This window comes from Homo sapiens, chromosome 5, assembly GCF_000001405.40.
Source record: "Homo sapiens chromosome 5, GRCh38.p14 Primary Assembly".
In the NCBI taxonomy this organism is placed as follows: domain Eukaryota; kingdom Metazoa; phylum Chordata; class Mammalia; order Primates; family Hominidae; genus Homo; species Homo sapiens.
This window is the reverse complement of record NC_000005.10, coordinates 157,460,105-157,476,659: the sequence shown is the minus strand read 5'-3', so window position 1 is coordinate 157,476,659 and position 16,555 is coordinate 157,460,105. Positions and strand designations below refer to the sequence as shown.

General features: G+C 47.2%; 1 protein-coding gene across 3 annotated transcripts, besides 1 other annotated feature; it reads right to left on the bottom strand.

The window, feature by feature from the left end:
- Positions 1,938-16,447, bottom strand: NIPAL4 (NIPA like domain containing 4). Of its 3 annotated transcripts, none has more exons than NM_001099287.2 (6): positions 16,303-16,447; positions 13,327-13,566; positions 9,555-9,611; positions 7,848-7,938; positions 4,843-5,003; positions 1,938-4,328 (listed from the first exon to the last, which is right to left on the bottom strand). In NM_001099287.2, exons 1-6 carry the CDS (start codon positions 16,337-16,339, stop codon positions 3,700-3,702), a joined length of 1,215 nt encoding a protein of 404 aa, NP_001092757.2. In that variant the 5' UTR covers positions 16,340-16,447; the 3' UTR covers positions 1,938-3,699. The 3 variants fall into 3 exon arrangements, with proteins under 3 accessions (NP_001092757.2, XP_011532854.1, NP_001165763.2); XM_011534552.2 differs by lacking the exon at positions 16,303-16,447 and adding an exon at positions 16,081-16,160; NM_001172292.2 differs by lacking the exon at positions 9,555-9,611.
- Positions 16,394-16,553: a silencer, noted in NCBI's record as "silent region_16559". NCBI's record gives its function as "represses an Ori minimal core promoter by ATAC-STARR-seq in GM12878 lymphoblastoid cells {active_cell/tissue: GM12878}" and the evidence as "EXISTENCE:reporter gene assay evidence [ECO:0000049][PMID:35858748]".

Sequence of the window (16,555 nt, the reverse complement as noted above, 5' to 3'; positions counted from 1 at the left end):
ATATTTGAAAAAAAAAAAAGTACAACCATAAAAAGTAATACAATTTAAAAATACGGTATAACAACGATTTACACAGCGTTTACATTGTATTAGGTATTATAGAAATCTGGAGATGATTTAAAGTATATGGGAGGATATATGTAGGTTATATGCAAATACTATACCATTTTATATAAGGGACTTGGCCATCCTTAGATTTTGTTATCCATGGGGGTCCTGGAACCAATCCCCTGCAGATACCAAGGAACAGCTGTATTTAACATACGTGAGCCACTCACTGCATGCTGTTTACAAATAAGGATTATCTCGTTTAATCTTCACAAAAACCCTGAGAGAGGCTTCTTGCTCTCTGATTTTACTTTTTTTTTTTTTTTTTAAGACGGAGTCTCTCTCTGTCACCCAGGCTGGGGTGCAGTGGTGCAATCTCAGCTCACTGCAACCTCCGCCTCCCGGGCTCAAGCAATTCTCATGCCTCAGCCTCCTGAGTAGCTGGGATTACAGGTGCCCACCACCACGCCTAATTTTTGTATTTTTAGTAGAGATGACCTCAAGTGATCCATTCGCCTCAGCCTCCTGAAGTGTTGGGATTACAGGCGTGAGCCACCGCACCCAGCCTGATTATATTTTTCTAACCTCTCATGGTTATGAGGTTGCCTATGGACCCTAAAGACATCTAAACACAAATGCTTTCACTACTAACATGCCTGCTCATGAAATTGCTTCCCACTCACACATCCCTACCTGGTTAAGAGGCCACTCTTCCCCTGCTGTCAGCCAGTCTCTGGGGTGATGCTCACGTGTTGGTCACTAGCATAATGGAGAAAGCCTGGTTGGGCAGACCCTGGTTGAAGTCCTCACTCTGCTTGCTACTCAATAGATAAGTGGGCCTGGATAAGTTCCAGATTTCTGAGTCTCTTCACTATACAAATAATATACCTGCCTCAAAAGTGTCGTGATCATCAATGAAATTCTGTATGTGCAAGTCCCCAACAGGGCCTGTCGCAGGCTATGTGCTGAGAAACTGCTGACTACATCAGTTTACAGTTGCTTTGCTTAACATGCAGAGTTCTATTAGGATCTGCCTTGCATTGAGTGCTGGTCCCCAGGAGAGTTTGGGCAAGGAAGGACTGTGATATTGTTCCTTCAATCTTTTCTTTTTCTTTTATTCTTTTAGTGCGTATGATGTGCTAGGCACTGAGGATAAGCAGTAAATCAAAGCCAACTCTCATGAAGCTTATATCCAGATGGGGAAAGAGCACAGATCACAAGAAAATAAATGAATAAAGTAGTAGCAGATTATGCACAAGGCACAGTGGCTCAGGCCTAAAATCTCAGCATTTTGGGAGGCCAAGGTGGGAAGATCACTTTAGGAAAGGAGTTTTGAGACCAGCCTGGGTAACATAGCAAGGCCTCATTTTTACCAAATCTGAGCCTGGGAGTTTGAAGCTGTAGTGAGCTAGGATCACACCACTGCCCTCCAGCCTGGGGGACAGAGCCAGACCCTGTCTCAAAACACAAAAAACCAAAACAGATTATGCAACTGGGGGCAAGGTTAGTCTTGGAGAGACACATTACGCCTGGTGGTTAAACCAGATATCAGCTTTGCTCTTCCTGGCTGGGTGACCTTGGGCAATTATATAAATGGGAATAAAAACGTATCTAACTTGAGGATTTGTGAGGAGTTAAAGAGAATTCACAGGAAGCACCTACTATGCCTGGTGCCTGGTAAGGGCTCAGGTGTTAACTAGGGATGAGTTGTCTTCAACTGACTCTATTTCTGAAACTATCTTTCCCACTCTACCAAGGGTGTTAACTACCACAGACACGGTAGGGGCTTTATTGGCAGTCGCATTCATTCAGAGATTGGAGACTGTCCTTCCAGCCCTAGAAAAACCAGTTTAATCACTCCATGCTCAAGGAAGGTCAAGACACAAGTATCAAGTAAATATAATCTGTAATCTTTATTCTTGACCCTGCAGACCACACTCTTAGGGCCCTCAGTTTACTGCCATTCTCAAGAGCCAACTTGTTGCATTGCTTTTAATTACAGACAGAAATCCACATTCATCAAAAACTGGGGATTTGAGGCTGAAGAGTCAGGGAGCCAGTCTGCTGGTCAGCCAAACCTTGGAGTTCCAAGGCCAGCAGGAATTTACCTGGGCTTGGCCCACTTAGGGCACAGGATATAAACACAGAGTGCAGGTAGAGTCACACAGGGGAGGCCCTGCACCAACCTCGGGGCTGAGGATCAAGTCTTCCCTCTTTCCAGATACACCAGCCCACTAATTTCCCTTTCTAATGGTTCTTCTCCAACCCCCACACTCTTGTGGCTAGAAAGGAGATAGGAAGGGAAGGAATAGTAATTATCTCCCTCTCCAGCTGCTCTGGTTTTTTGTATGCCTCTGGCCAAATGTGAGGGGACCAAAGGTACTCCCCATAGCAGGTGGTGTTGGAACAGTCAGGGCATGCTGCTTCCCAGTGTGGGCAGCTCATCAGTGGAGGAGGGGACTCGGTAGCAATCTGGTCAACAGCTAGAATGCACCCCATGCCAAGTCTGCACCTCCAGTTGGCCATTGAGATTCACAGCTGTCCAAGCCTTTAAGGCTGCAACCCAGAAATTACCCCTGAGCTCGTTTCTCCTAAGTTCCCAGATGAGCACCAGAGTCAACACAAAAGTTAGCCCCTAGTATCCAGAGAGCCTGGGACTGCCTTCTGCCAAATCCCAACTTTGCTCCTCATCCTCTTCCCACCTCCCCAGATCATAGGTTGGTTGACTCCTTGAGGAATAGTAAAGTGCGTTCTGCCAAATTCTAGCTTGGCAGCCAGGCCACTTTGAAGCAGTGAATTTGCTGTTCTTCTTTCAGAGTAAGACAAAATGCAACACTGGGTTTGGCCACCAGAGTTTGGCTGTGGCTCTATTATTGTTTTGTTTCCAGTTCTGCGATTACTGCCTTTATGTCTCAGTGACCGACTCCTTAGGATGTAAGTAGAGGGGGAAGGGGTGATGGTGGGATGGACTGGGTGGATGCCGAGGTGCTGACTGCCAGGCTGGAGTGCTCGGGGAATGAGCTGGTTGAAATTTTTCCCTGAGACATCAAGTGGCTTTCACAGTAAGAAGGTCAGCTGAGGTCTTGCTTCTGCCTCCAAAGAGGAAGTGACAAAGGCAACAGGATATTTTACACTGGTTGTGTCCCTGTCAGCTCTGGATAGGGAGGCATGGCCAATTGCTCTGTGGGCCTCTGGGAGCCAGCTCTATGTCATCCTTGGGCTAGAAAACAACAACAACAACAACAACGGAGATTCCGTCTCAGGAGGAGAATTGGTGTGAAGGAACTTCCAATGACCAATATCTTAGAGAAGTCCTTGGACTGTGCTACATTCAGTGGGTCAGACTCCATCTTCTTCCCAACGGCATAGAGATGGCACCGAAAGAATGAATGAGAAGGAAGGTCCAGGGAACCTGCAGGCACTGATGTAAACTTGGGTATTTGGTCACTGAATCTGTTTCCAGGAAGTTCTGCCACCATTGCTATTTGGGTAAAGATTTTTCTCCTGGAAACAGTGATGAGGTATAAATGAACTTCTCAAGAAAAGAGAGCCCATTGGTAACAGTTGCACTGGAAAATAACCAGGTGGTTTTGAAATTGGGAGGGCAGGCTGTACCATCGGACTCATCCTCTCACTCACATATTCCAAGCTTCAGGAATGGATTATAAATACTTTGGGTTTCTCTTCTGGTGATGAGGTGCTGGCAAGTTCTATATTGTCCACAAGGACGTTCTTGTCTTCCAGTCTAATAACAGTGGGTTCCGGGGCGGGAGAAGGGGGTGGGTTTTTGTGCATGTGGGGCAAGCTGGCGCAGCTGATGTCCAGGTCTTTGAAAGCATGCAGCATGAACACGCCCAAGATGATGGTGACAAAGCCCGAGAGGGTGCCTGCAATGTCCACAGCAGACATGCTGTACCACTCCTTGAAGAGGATGATGGACGAGGTAACGACCACCGTGGTGAAGAACACGTAGTAGATGGGGAACACCAGGGAAGTGTTGAAAATGTCCAGTGCTCTGTTGAGGAAGTTGACCTGAGTGCTGAGGGACAGTGCCAGGATGAGGGACAGGATGTAGGGGAGCGGGTGCCGGACAACTGGCAGCCCCTGGAAGAAGTTCTTGATGGTGATGCCCAGCCCCTTGACAGCAGCCACAGAGAAGGCCCCGATCACAGAGCAGATGATGATGTAGATGAGGATATTCCTTTGCCCGTAACGTGGGGCAATGACAAAGATGAGGATGAGGCATGACACCAGCAGAAGCACAGCAAACACGATGAACCCTTTGGGAGGAGAGAGAGAAGGATCACTTGGCTGTGGAGGGTGCAGGCAATGTCTAGGGCCCAGACTCATGGCAGTGGGAGGTAGCATTAAGATCGTGGGCTCTAGAGTCAGACAAACCCGGGTTCCAGTCCCAGCTTCATGACTTCCTAATAACTTGGTTAGGTTTTTAAACCCCCAAAAACTCAGTTTCCCCATTTGTAAAAGAGGACCAACAATAGGATCATCCTCATAAAGCTGTTCTGTGGGATTCAGTGAGATAATGTATATAAAGCATTCATAACAGTGCCTGGCACATAATAAACACTTATTAATGGTACCCATACATATCAGGCCAGGAAGCCTTTAAGCTAGCCTTGCTAACAAGTACCAGCCCATTAACATTTCTTCTTTAGCTTGCCTTCTCCTCTAGGTGGCAGCACCTGAGGTGGTCAGAACCCAACCTGACCTTTTGTGGGGTAGTAGGGGGTGTTCAACCTCCAGTATTTTCCTGCTCTTCAGGGGCTTGGAGTCTACCTGTGTCTTTCATCTTGGAAGCCATCTCCATGATGGTAGTGACCTTCTCTTCCTCAGGAGCATGTATCACCATCACTGTGCTTCCGGCCACACAGATCACACAGCCCAGCTTCCCCAGCAGGTTCAGACTCTCCCTCAGGAAATATGAGGAGAGGATGGCACTGCACGTGGAAATGGGAGAAGGGGATTAGAGCAGCCATGCCTGTCCCAGAGTCCCAAAGAAAATGGGGCCTGAGCAAGCACTCACAGAGAACAACAGATCAGAACTCACTAGTTTCTCACGTGGAAGGTTTTCTTCCAAAAAAACTTACGTTACCATGGGCAAATCATGTGACCTCCCTAAGCCTCATTGTCCCCATCTGCAAAATGGGGATGCTAATAATATCCACGGGAGACATTGTTCTCAGGAACTAAATGAGATAATGCACAGAAAATGCACAGTACAGAGCTGGTACTGAAGAATAAACACAGCTGTCACATATGGAGGGCTTAGTATGTGCTGAACATTCTGAATGTATCCCGCATATTAACTCATTTAATCCTCACAGCATCCCTAGCTGAGGCCAAGAGAGGTTAAGCAACTTGGCCAGGGTCACCAGGTTCTAAGAGGCCAGGCTGGAATTCTAACCCAGGCAGTCTAATTCCAGAGTCAGGGGGCTTAACTGCTATGCCACATTGCCACTGAAATAAACCCTCATCAAATGTCTGATAGTTTTAAAAACAGTTCATACGAAATATCTGTGCTTCCCACTGCCCCCAGTCCTCCTGAGCTGGGGCCAAAAAATGTTTGATATAGAAACTCATTTCTGGGAGTGTTACAATATTTGCTGGAGGAATAGAAATGCAGGTGAATTTCTTCCATTTTAGAGACTGAAAGTATTCCCAAACAGAAGAGTTGGAAGAACACTTCAAAATGCTCTTGTCTAACTGCCTTCCCAATGGACACATCCTCTCTTAGCACTGCCAACAGATGGCTCTCAGCTTTGGCTTATAGATACCTCTGGTGGCAGGGAGCCCACCCCTTCACAAGCCAAATGAGGCCATTGTAGGTTTGCTCTAATCATTTACCAAAAATATGCCTTCTGGTAATTTCTATTTTTTGCTCTATCTCTGCTCCTCGGGTCATTCATAACACACCTATTATTTCATTTGTATAAGCCAGTGTAAACAACCTCAGTGACAATCACAGGTACCATGTCTTAGGCATTTATTACCTACTATGTATGGTGCTAGGAACTTCCCGTCTATCACACTAGCATCTCATAACTCTTTGCAAAGTGAAATATACTATCTCCAGTTGATAAATGAGAAGACTGAATCTCAAAGAAGTTAAAATGACTTGGCAAGGTCAAATGACTAGCAAGTAGTGGAACCAGGAATTGAGCTCGAGTCCTTTCTAATTATAAAGCTCATGGGTTTTCTTCTATGCCTCGTTGAAGAGGATCCTTGTGACTTCCCTGAGTCTTCAATTTCTGGGCAAATTATCTCCAGTTCCTTGCTGCACCGTGGTGACATGATTTCTATTCCCCTCATATCCTCGAGGCGAGCCAGCAGAAGCAAGAGAGGAAGGGAAAAAAAATCACAGGCAAGCCTCGTATAATCACGGGGGCATGCTTCTGTCTCTTCATGAAGGTGGCTTAGTTTAGGGTAAAAACCTATTGGCTATCTCAGGACATTGGCTATTTTTAGCCTTAAAAATCCTGGTTCAAGTTGTCAGGAGAGAGGAGATTGATATCTAAGCTCTCTTGTCTGTCTTCCGTCTTTCCTCTGAAACTACCAAAAATATTTTGGCCGCAATGTCCCATTCAAGAGATTATTCATGCAGGCAGGGGCCACACACTGGAGGATTTTATGGCTCTCCCAACTTCCCCCGGGTAGGAATTTGCAAACTAATCAGATATGCAATTATGGTACCACAGCTACATCAGCTGTGTTAGGCCAGTTATACAGCATGAATCAGGCGAGTTGTACAGCATGAGTTCTATTTGTTTTTTGAGTGTGTAAATGTTGCAAAATTTTCATCAAGATGGTAAAACAAATGATGGGTACTGGGTGTGGTCTGCTACAATTTACCGGCGTTCCAAGGTTACGCCAACAATCAGAGTCTCCTTCAAATAGGGCTCCAGGACCCCCACAGAGGAGCTGGCTCTGTGTTTGTAGCTCAGGGGGACTAGGGGCAGTGGGAAGCACAGACATTTAGTATCAATTATTTTTAAAACTATCAAACATTTGTTGAGTGTTTACTTGAGAGGCAATGTGGCATAGCAATTAAGCCCACTGACTCTGGAATTAAGACTGCCTGGGTTAGAATCCTGGCCTGGCCTCTTAGAAGCTGGTAACTTTGGCCAAGTTGCTTAACCTCTGTTGGGCTCAGCTAGGGATGCTGTGAAAATTAAATGAGTTAATATGCATGATACATTCAGAATGTTCAGCACATACTAAGCCCCTACTATGTGATAGCTGTGGTTATTGTTTGGTCCCAGCTCTGTACTGTGCATTTTCTGTGCATTATCTCATTAAATCCTCAGAACAATGCCCCCCAGTGGGTATTATTGGCATCCCCATTTTGCAGATGGGAAAAATGAGGCTTCGAGTGACTAAGTGGCTTAAATGACTTGCCTATGGTAACGTGACTACTAAGTGGCAGAGCGAGGATTAGAACTCAGGCAGCATTAATCCGGAGCACATGCTCTTAACTTGTATGCTGCATCTATCACGGCACCAAAATAGTGACATGCGCCGTTCACCCTGGTGACGGTGGAAGCCCTTCCAACTGCTTTGGGCTTGGCCTGCCTCTCTATTACCCAGTCAAGGGGATGCTAGGGCAAGAGGCAGCAAACATTCCCAGGGTCTATAGCTCTGGACAGCACACTGCCTCTTTCTGGAGGCTGAGACCAACCCAGGTCCCTGATTGCCAAGTGGCAGTCGATCCCACTTGGCAATTCCAGGCCTCAACAAACTGAAAACGGAATAGAAAAAGAGAGAGCTAGAGAGGGGACAATAACCTTATGAGGACACTCAGCGCTCCCAGAGGCGTGACGACTGTTGCAGGTGCAAATGCGTAGGCTCCAAAGTTGGCAACTTCTCCAGCAGCCACTAGGAAACGAAGGGAGAAAAGAGGCTAGCATGGCGCAGAAGCACCATCTCCATTCCAGACGAATAATTCCGTGTGCAACAAGCTGGAGAATCCCAGACCAGCATTCCTTAAAATCTTGATCCATACGCTCTCTCCCTGGAGAGTCTGATCGAAGGTCAGTCCCAGTCTGTCCAGATCAGATCCTTCCACTTTAAAGATGGTGAAGCTAAGGCCCCAAGCCCAAGGTCACGTGACATGCTTATGGTGTAGAAGCCCTCTTGTTCTTTAGGCCTCTTGGCTTCTAGTCTGACAGGCACAGTTAAATTTGTCTCAGGGACTGCCAGTATTTTGGACTAGATTTTTAATTTAAATTCTAGGAAGTGTTAATTATCAAAGGAAGAAACAGTTACAATTATTGGTTCTCCAGGTACCAATTGGTCCATGGACCCCACTTTTCCCCTCTTTTCCAGGGGAATTTTCAACAGTCTGGACTAAGAGGCAGGTGGTTAGAAAAATCTGACATTTCTGGCTGGGCGCGTTGCCTCACACCTGTAATCCCAGCACTTTGGGAGGCCGAGGCAGGTGTATCACCTGAGGTCGGGAGTTCGAGACCAGCCTGACCAACACGGAGAAACCCCGTCTCTACTAAAAATACAAAAAAAAAAAAAAATTAGCCAGGCGTGGTGGTGCATGCCTGTAATCCCAGCTACTCGGGAGGCCGAGGTAGGAGAATCACTTGAACCCGGGAAGCAGAGGTTGCTGTGAGCTGAGATTGCACCATTGCACTCCAGCCTGGGCAACAAGAGTGAAACTCCGTCTCAATAAATAAATTAATTAATTAATTAGCAGGAAAAGAAAAATCTGACATTCCCAAGGGGCCTAAGTTCTTTCTCTCTATCTGAGTTTCCAGTTTGTAAACTCCTGAGTTAATACACAGGATAACACTTAGAAAGTTTAGCAGACAGTAAACCCTCAATATGTGATAGCTGTGTGTGGTTATCAGAAAAGTGTCTTTTTCCATCTCTCTGCTGATAGAGAACCACCTGGGTCTCCCCTTTAAAAGCAGATGGTCACTGGGATAGCTCTGGCTGAGACGAGGATCAAAACTTGACATAGGGGATTATGAATGGAAACCTGGTTAATTTTCCACCTAAAAGAGTCAGGGTTTGATAGCAGGAGAGGGTGGGTGGAAAGTGGGGGAAATGTGTGAGTATGCAAATTTGGGCAAACTTTAAGTAACGGACCAGCTATGTTCTAAGTGGGCCAACACATTAACTGCCTGCGGACTGGGGGAAGTTGGCCTAGGAGTTCCAGCTTCTACCATGTAGAAGTCAAGAGTCCACTACCAACAGGCAGTGATATTATCGAGCTATGTTTAAAGGCAAGTTGAGAAAATACACCTTCATGGTTGCCAGCTCTGTGCAAACCTCTCTGGGAGTAGACGCTTCATGGATGAAGACTGACTTTGATGGTAAGATGTTCTCCCTGTAAAGGTTGTCAAGGTTTTCCCCTGGGAATCTGGGCCTCAGATTCACACTTGCCATACTAGAGACAAAAATGCCCTACCCACCCCTCCCTTTGTCTCCAGCCCTGCTATCAATAGGCCACTGTTATTAGTAACAAACAACCCACTTACTGGTGAGAAATCCAGCCCACCACATTGCATCTTTCAGGTAGCCGAAGCCTCCATCCACTGTGGAGGGAATGGACACAAAGTTAGGATGGAACTTGGCCACACTTTCTCAGGTACCTTTCCTAACTCTCTGCTCACTCCCCGGCCTCTAAGGGCTGCTCCTTGAGGCTTGGTTCTGGGCCTTCTCCTGGGTGGGTTCATTTGTTCCTAAAGTTTTAAATACCATCTATATCTGATGCCTCTATATCTGTAGCCTGGACCTTCCTTCTGAGTCCAGGTGTATATCCAACTGCTTACTTCACATCTCCTCTTGGATTCCTCACAGGCATCTCAATTTCTGTCCTAAATGGAGCTCTTGGTTTTAAATGTTCCCCACCCACCTGCCAAATGAAACATAGTAAGTGGCACTCTCATTTATCCAGTTGCTTAAGCCAGAAACCAGGGAATTGCTCTTTGACTCTTCTCTCCCTCCTTCTGCATCCAGTCCATCCTGATAACTCTGTCTCCAAAAAGATCTCGCATGTGTCCACTCCGCTGCCACCTGCTACACGAAGGCACTGTTATCCCTGCTTCAGGTTGAGGCAACAGCCTCCTTCATAGTTACTCTGGTTCCACTCTTGGCCCTTTAATAACCTATTTTTCTTTTCATGGCAGCCAGTCGTCTTTTAAGAATGCAAATCAGATTATGTCACTCCGCAACTTATGGCTGGCAATGGCTTCTGAGTGCTCTCAGGATAAAGACCAGAATCCTTAACAAGAGCATGCATACTTTTGGCCCTGCTCACCTGTCCAAGTGCATCTCCTGCCACTCTTCTCCTCTCTCTTAGCTCTCCAAAAACGATGAGCTCTTTTCTGCCTCGAGGCCTTTGCACATGCTTTCCCTGTGTCCAGAATACTCTATTATTTGCCTAAACTTACACTCACTCTACAGGTTGCTGTGTGAATGTTGCTTCCCCTACGATGCCATCCCTGACTCCCTGATTTCTATTATTTCCTGTTGGAGTTCCTTCTCTCCCTCCCTCCCACCATCCTTTCCTTCCTTCCTTTCTCTCTCTCTTCCTTCCCTCCCTCCTCCCTCCTTTCTTCCTTACCTTTTTCCTTCCCTCCCTCCTCCACTGCAGGGTCTCCCTCGGTCACCCAGGCTGGAATGTGCAGTGGCATGATCATAGCTCAATGAAGCCTCAAACTCCTGGGCTCAAGGGATCCTCCCACCTCAGCCTCCTGAGTAGCTGGGACTAGTCATATGCCACCATGCCTGGCTAATTGAAAAAAATTTTCTGTACAGATGGGGGTCTTGCTATGTTTCCCAGGCTGGTCTCAAACTCCCGGACTCAAGTGATCCTGACACCTCAGCCTCCCAAAGTGCTGGGATTACAGGTGTGAGTGACTGTGCCCAGCTGGGGTTCTCTCATAACACCCAGCTCTTCTCTTTCATGGCATTGTTGTTCTTAATTTTAGTTGATCTTCTTATTTTATGACATTTCCCCCAGTAAAATGGAAGCTCCACAAAGCCAGGAATTGTGTCTGCTTTGTTCAGGACCTGGCACGTAGTCAATACTCAGTAACATTAGCAACAACGATGATGATAATAATGGATGATGATAGATGGGTTTGAGACAGTTTCATAAAAATCCAAAAATTTATGTTGCTTTTGGGAATGCCCACTTTTCTAAGGAAGAGGTGTCCTATTTTCATTAGGTTCCTAAAAAGGTCAGAATTTCCCATAAATGTTAAGAACTCTGAGAACATTTTACTCTAAGGGTTGAAATCACAGAAGATACTGAAATAGTAGATTGGAGAAAAAAATGGATTCCAGGGAAGTTGTCTTTCTGAATGGTCAATGATACCTTCTCTGAACACAAGCAGAAATTTCCCTGGCACTCTGGAAGGTCTCTGGCCTTTCCAACACTTGTCTAGAAGTGAAGGGTGGAATGGCAATGACCATTGTTCCTGACTTCATCTCTGCACCTCACAGCTATTCATTTTGCAGCACACATGGGCTCTAGACCTGTACCTCTAACTGTGGGAACCTCCCACTGAGATAACAGTAATACCAATACTAGTGCTAGTCTGTGCACTAGTACCTCTAACTGTGGGAACCTTTCACTGAGATAACAGTAATACCAATACTAGTGCTACTCTGTGCTAGGTATGATTCTAACTATGTTGCATTTTCTTATAACCCTTTAGGCTGGTACTATTCTTATCTCCATTTTATAGATGAGAAGACTGAGGCATAGAAATAGATACTTTTCTTGCCCAGAATTGAATCACCAGGAATTGAGGAGCCAGAATTAGAACCCTAATAGTCTGCTTCCTAAGTGCAATATCCCACAAAAACATTAAATTGAACGTGTCCAAACTTGAATGCATCATCTTCCCATAAACCTGTCCCTCCTTCTACACTCTTCATCTCAAGAAATAGCACTTTCATCACCCCAGTTGCTCAAGTCAAAAGCATGAGTCATCCTTGACTCCTTCCCCCGCCCCTCCTCCCTTGCTTGAAGCCGGTCTGTATCAAAGCTGGTAAATTCTACCTTCAAAAACTAGCTTTGGAATCCACCAGTTGTCTCCATTCCCATTTCCGTCTCCCGGGCTCAAGTTCTGTCCTTTCACTCACCTACTTGGTTTCCCAGGCTCCAGGCTTGTCCCCTAATCCGTTCTTCACCCAGCAACCAGGGATCTTTTCAAATTGCAAATTAGACTGTGTCACTCGCCTTCCTAAAACCTTTCAGTCACTTAACAATTGCACTCAGCCTCTGTACTTCCATTTACAAGACCCTTCATGAGCTGGCCCTTCACTCACCATGCACCCCTCCTGCTCCTGCCATTCTGAATGACTTTCGATTTCTAGTATCACTCAAGTTCTCTCACCTCTGAGCCTTTGCACGTGTTATTCCTTCTGCCTGGAACACTGTCTCCCTATTTCCCCTTTTACCTTGCTGTCTCCTCATAATCTAGGTCTCAGTTTAGAGATCATCTCTTCTAGAGAAACCTCCCCTAATCCCCCAAGTCTGGGCTTTACACACCCCTCCAAAATATTCCCCCATAGCAGGCTGTGTTTTCCCCATGATGGCACTTAACACATGATAAAACAACTGCCTATTGACTCATCTGTCTCTTCCACTTGACTGAAGGTTCCACGAGGACACTGAATCCCCATGTCTAGCATTGTCCCTGGCATACAGCAGGCATGTGATAAATGGTGATTAAATGAATGAGTCATTTTGCACAGGATTCCTTTTCTCAAGCACTGTTTCACGGAAAAACATCTTATTTTCCAAACAAGCAAATCCCTTGGGGTCAGACAGTTCACCATTTTTTGGCAGCCCAGAAGGGAGCTCAATTGGATGCTAAGTGAGGGCACACCAGCGTCTGACATTGTTCTGAGCAGAAGTATCTATTCCCATTTTGCAGAGAAGCTGTGACTTGCCTGTGATGACGTTGGTGGGAAGTAAGACCAAGACCAGACATGCATATCTGATTCTTGGTCCTGAGACTTGTCCCTTCCCTCCTCTAATAAACACATCATGAAGGTCTCAGGAAAGATTGGATTCTAAAGGAAGGCATCCTGTTTGCTCTCTAAACTGAGACCTCCTATTGGAGGCCTTCCTTTATAACCCTAAACCCTAACCCTGTTGGCAGGTGGGATTCCAGATAGGGTTGACAATGAGCCTTTTGTACCTTGCTGAGGCCATCCTCTTAGACTACAGCCCCGGACCTTGTGAGAGCTCAGCTGCCCTGGGCCCTATCCTCTCCTGGCCCAGGAACCTACCAGCTCGAGTGGCTCCCGTGGCCACGAGTCGCAAGAGGCCTTTCTTCTTGAGGATGACGCTGCTGCCGATGAGGAAGCTAGACAGGAATGCCAGGCCCAGGCCGATGTAGAAGCCATAGTTCTGCCTGATTCTTTCCTGCCAGCTGTGAAAGGTGGCATTGCTGGGCACCTCAGGGCTGAGGTCATTGACAATCTGGCACAGGACTTCTTGGGAGGAGCAGTAGAGGTGGAGCAGGGAACCTGGATGGGAAGACCACAGTGAGAGAGTCACACTGGGGACAATTGCACACTTTTAAAATATTGGAATTGGCCACTGTTTCAAACCCTGTGCTTCCGCTACTGCAGGGCTATACCCATATACCGTGCCTCCACCTAAAAATAATTATGTTCAGTGAGTGCTTACGCTAGTTAGGGGCTTTCTTTGCATGACCACAACAAATTTGTACCACCACGTGCCAGATAACAAACCTGGGCACAAGGGCAGACCCTCAGTCAGAAGAAGTACATAAGTTCAATGAAACTGCAAAGAATAGCCAATAATTCTTCAGTGCTACTACTCACATGGTCCTCTGCTCTGGGGTTTTCCAGGAGGGTTTCTAATGACCACTTGGAAGCAGGCACAACAATCTTTTATAGGCTTTTAGTTGAAGAAACCAAAGCTCTGATAAGTTTAGTAACCTGCCCAAAGCCAAAACATGGGTACTGAATAGTGAAGCCAGTGTCAGATTCTAAGCTTATCTGATGCCAAAGCCCAGGCTCTTAACCATCACACACACCTCAATAAAGCAGGTAGCATCTGGCCTCCTAAGAGGCTTTTTGTTTGTTTTTGTTTTTGTTTTTTTGTGTAGAGATGGGGGTCTTGCTATGTTGCAGAGGGTGGTCTGAACTCCTAGCCTCAAGCTATCCTCCTGCCTCAGCCTCCCAAAGCACTAAGATTACAGACGTGAGCCACCGTGCCTGGCCCTAAGAGGTATTTTAAAATAGAAAACATTTAAAAATTGGGAGATTTTCCATGAAAATTCAGATGGGAGGCTACGGTGAAAAATCAGATCTGCTTACCATATTGGGCCCTCTTCTAAGGCAACAACTGGCTGCAGCTGGGCAGTGTTGCCCCCTAAAATAGGACATACTCTCTGCAGTTCCCCAAGAGTCTTATCTGGCTCCTTTCAGTAATTTCTAGCACGTGCTTGGCCTTTGTAGGCATCTGAGTTTGTTACCTCTGGAGGTAGCCTTTTTCAAGCTGTGTGTCACCAAGGCCCAGGTCCCTATGCCAAGGATGTAAGCCTCAACCAAGTATTTCTCCCACCAACCTAGAACTCCCAGGCAGTGCCTGGAAGGGCCCCAAAGTCCATGGTCAAGCAACTCTGGCTCTGGCACATCTGCAGGGCAGAGTGGCATCTTGGTGGAACAGACTAAAGGCAATGTTGACCTTTCTTCCACGACACAGACCCATGAATAACAGAGCTTGAAGAGCCCTTAGAAAGCAGTCTAAATTCTTATTTTTTCTGGGGAAACTGAGGCCCTGAGAAAGGGAAGAGCTTGCTTAAGTCACCCCAACATCTGGTGAAAGATCTGGATCCAGCACCCACTGGGGCACATCCATGTGTCTTTTGCAGTGTGATATCTCTCTTTCCAAAACTCGTGTCACAATCAAGGGAAGATGAGACAAGAGGCATCTCAGTCCCTAATCAGACTTGTTCTGCACTGCTCATTCCTGTTTCTCCAGCTCAGGCTTCCTTGCCCAAGAGCTGAATCTGGGGAGTTCCCTGAGCCCAGGAAATGAGCCAGAACCTGGGAGAACATGGGCTAGGGGAGGTGACTCCTGAGAGGAAGACCAAACTCATCCCCACGCCCTTCCCCTGCTCCCTGAAGGTGCACCTCTAGCAGATGGAGCCAACGAACCCTCTGTGGATGGACTTGGCTGTCACAGTAAAGCCCGCAACACCCAAGGGCTGAGCATCCTCCATTGAGTCAAGTTCTCCCACTGCAGTGAAAAGTAAAAGACAGAGGGCTGATGGCCAAAGTAATCCAATTCTGAGCATGGGCCAGATGATTCCTGTTATCTCTTCCAGAATATGCTAGGACTGGGGAACACATTCTGGCCTAGAGAAAAGGTGAGGCTGAAAATGCCTGCCTTGTTCAGGAAACCAAAGTCAGACACCTAACAGGCTGGCTTTGAAAGCTTCACTGTAGAAGGGAAGAGGTTAGAGAAACAGGGACATGCCACAGCCTGCAGTTCCAAGACAAGGTAGGAAAGTGGAGCCACACCAAGGAAGGAGTTGAGGTTTTACTGTCCACCAGCCTTGGATCTATATTCCATTTCCTCACTGTATTACCTTGAGCAAATTATTAGCTGCTCAGAGCCTCAGTTTCTGGATCTTTAGAGTGGGGATAGCAAGATAGTAAAATAATAATACCTACCTACCTTCTAGAGTTGTTTTAAGGATTCAGTGAGATAATGCGGGTAAAGGGCCTAGTCCACTACCTGCTTTATGGTCAGAACGCAATAGGAAGTCAGGGGTCTTTCTTTACCCCTTCCTGTGGTTCTTTTTCTTTTCCAAAGACAAGACCGTCCTGTGATGGTCCTCCCATTGACCCAGAGAGAAAGCCCAAACTGCGCAGGTACTAAAACCTGAAGCAACTACACATTAAAAACACAGAATCCTCCCCCCGCCCCCACCACCTCTCAGGGTGTCTGCTGTCGTCAAAATGCCTGCCCCCCACTAACCCCCCATCTCAACCCAGGGGACATACTTTCCTTCCCTGACTCCTCTCAGCCATCCCAGCTGCGAAGATGAAAGTGAAGTCTCAGCCAGAACCCAGATCTTCAAAGCTGGGTGGGAGCCACCTCGTGCTGGCCCTGCCCCTCCCCAGCTTTGGCCCCCCTGGGAGGAGAGGATGCGAGGGAGAGCGGTGGCAAGGAGGGGAGGGCGCGAAGCGCGGAGCCCGCCTGGTCCCCAGCCCTGCCGTACGCACCGTTCTCGCAGCTGGTGTTGCTGACCCGCAGCTCCATGGGGCCCGGGGCACACGAACCGACGCGCGGGCGGACGGCGCCCGGGCTCCCCAGCTCCGGAGCAGGTGGCCGCGACTTGTCCCCCGCGTGGCTCGCGCGCGAGAAGCCGCCGGGGTCCGGACCCAGGGGTGGGGAGAGTGACGCGTCCCAGAGTGGGAGAGTCCCCGGGGAGGAGTCACCCGGCATCTTGGGCAATTCCGGGGGCAGGGGGCCCAG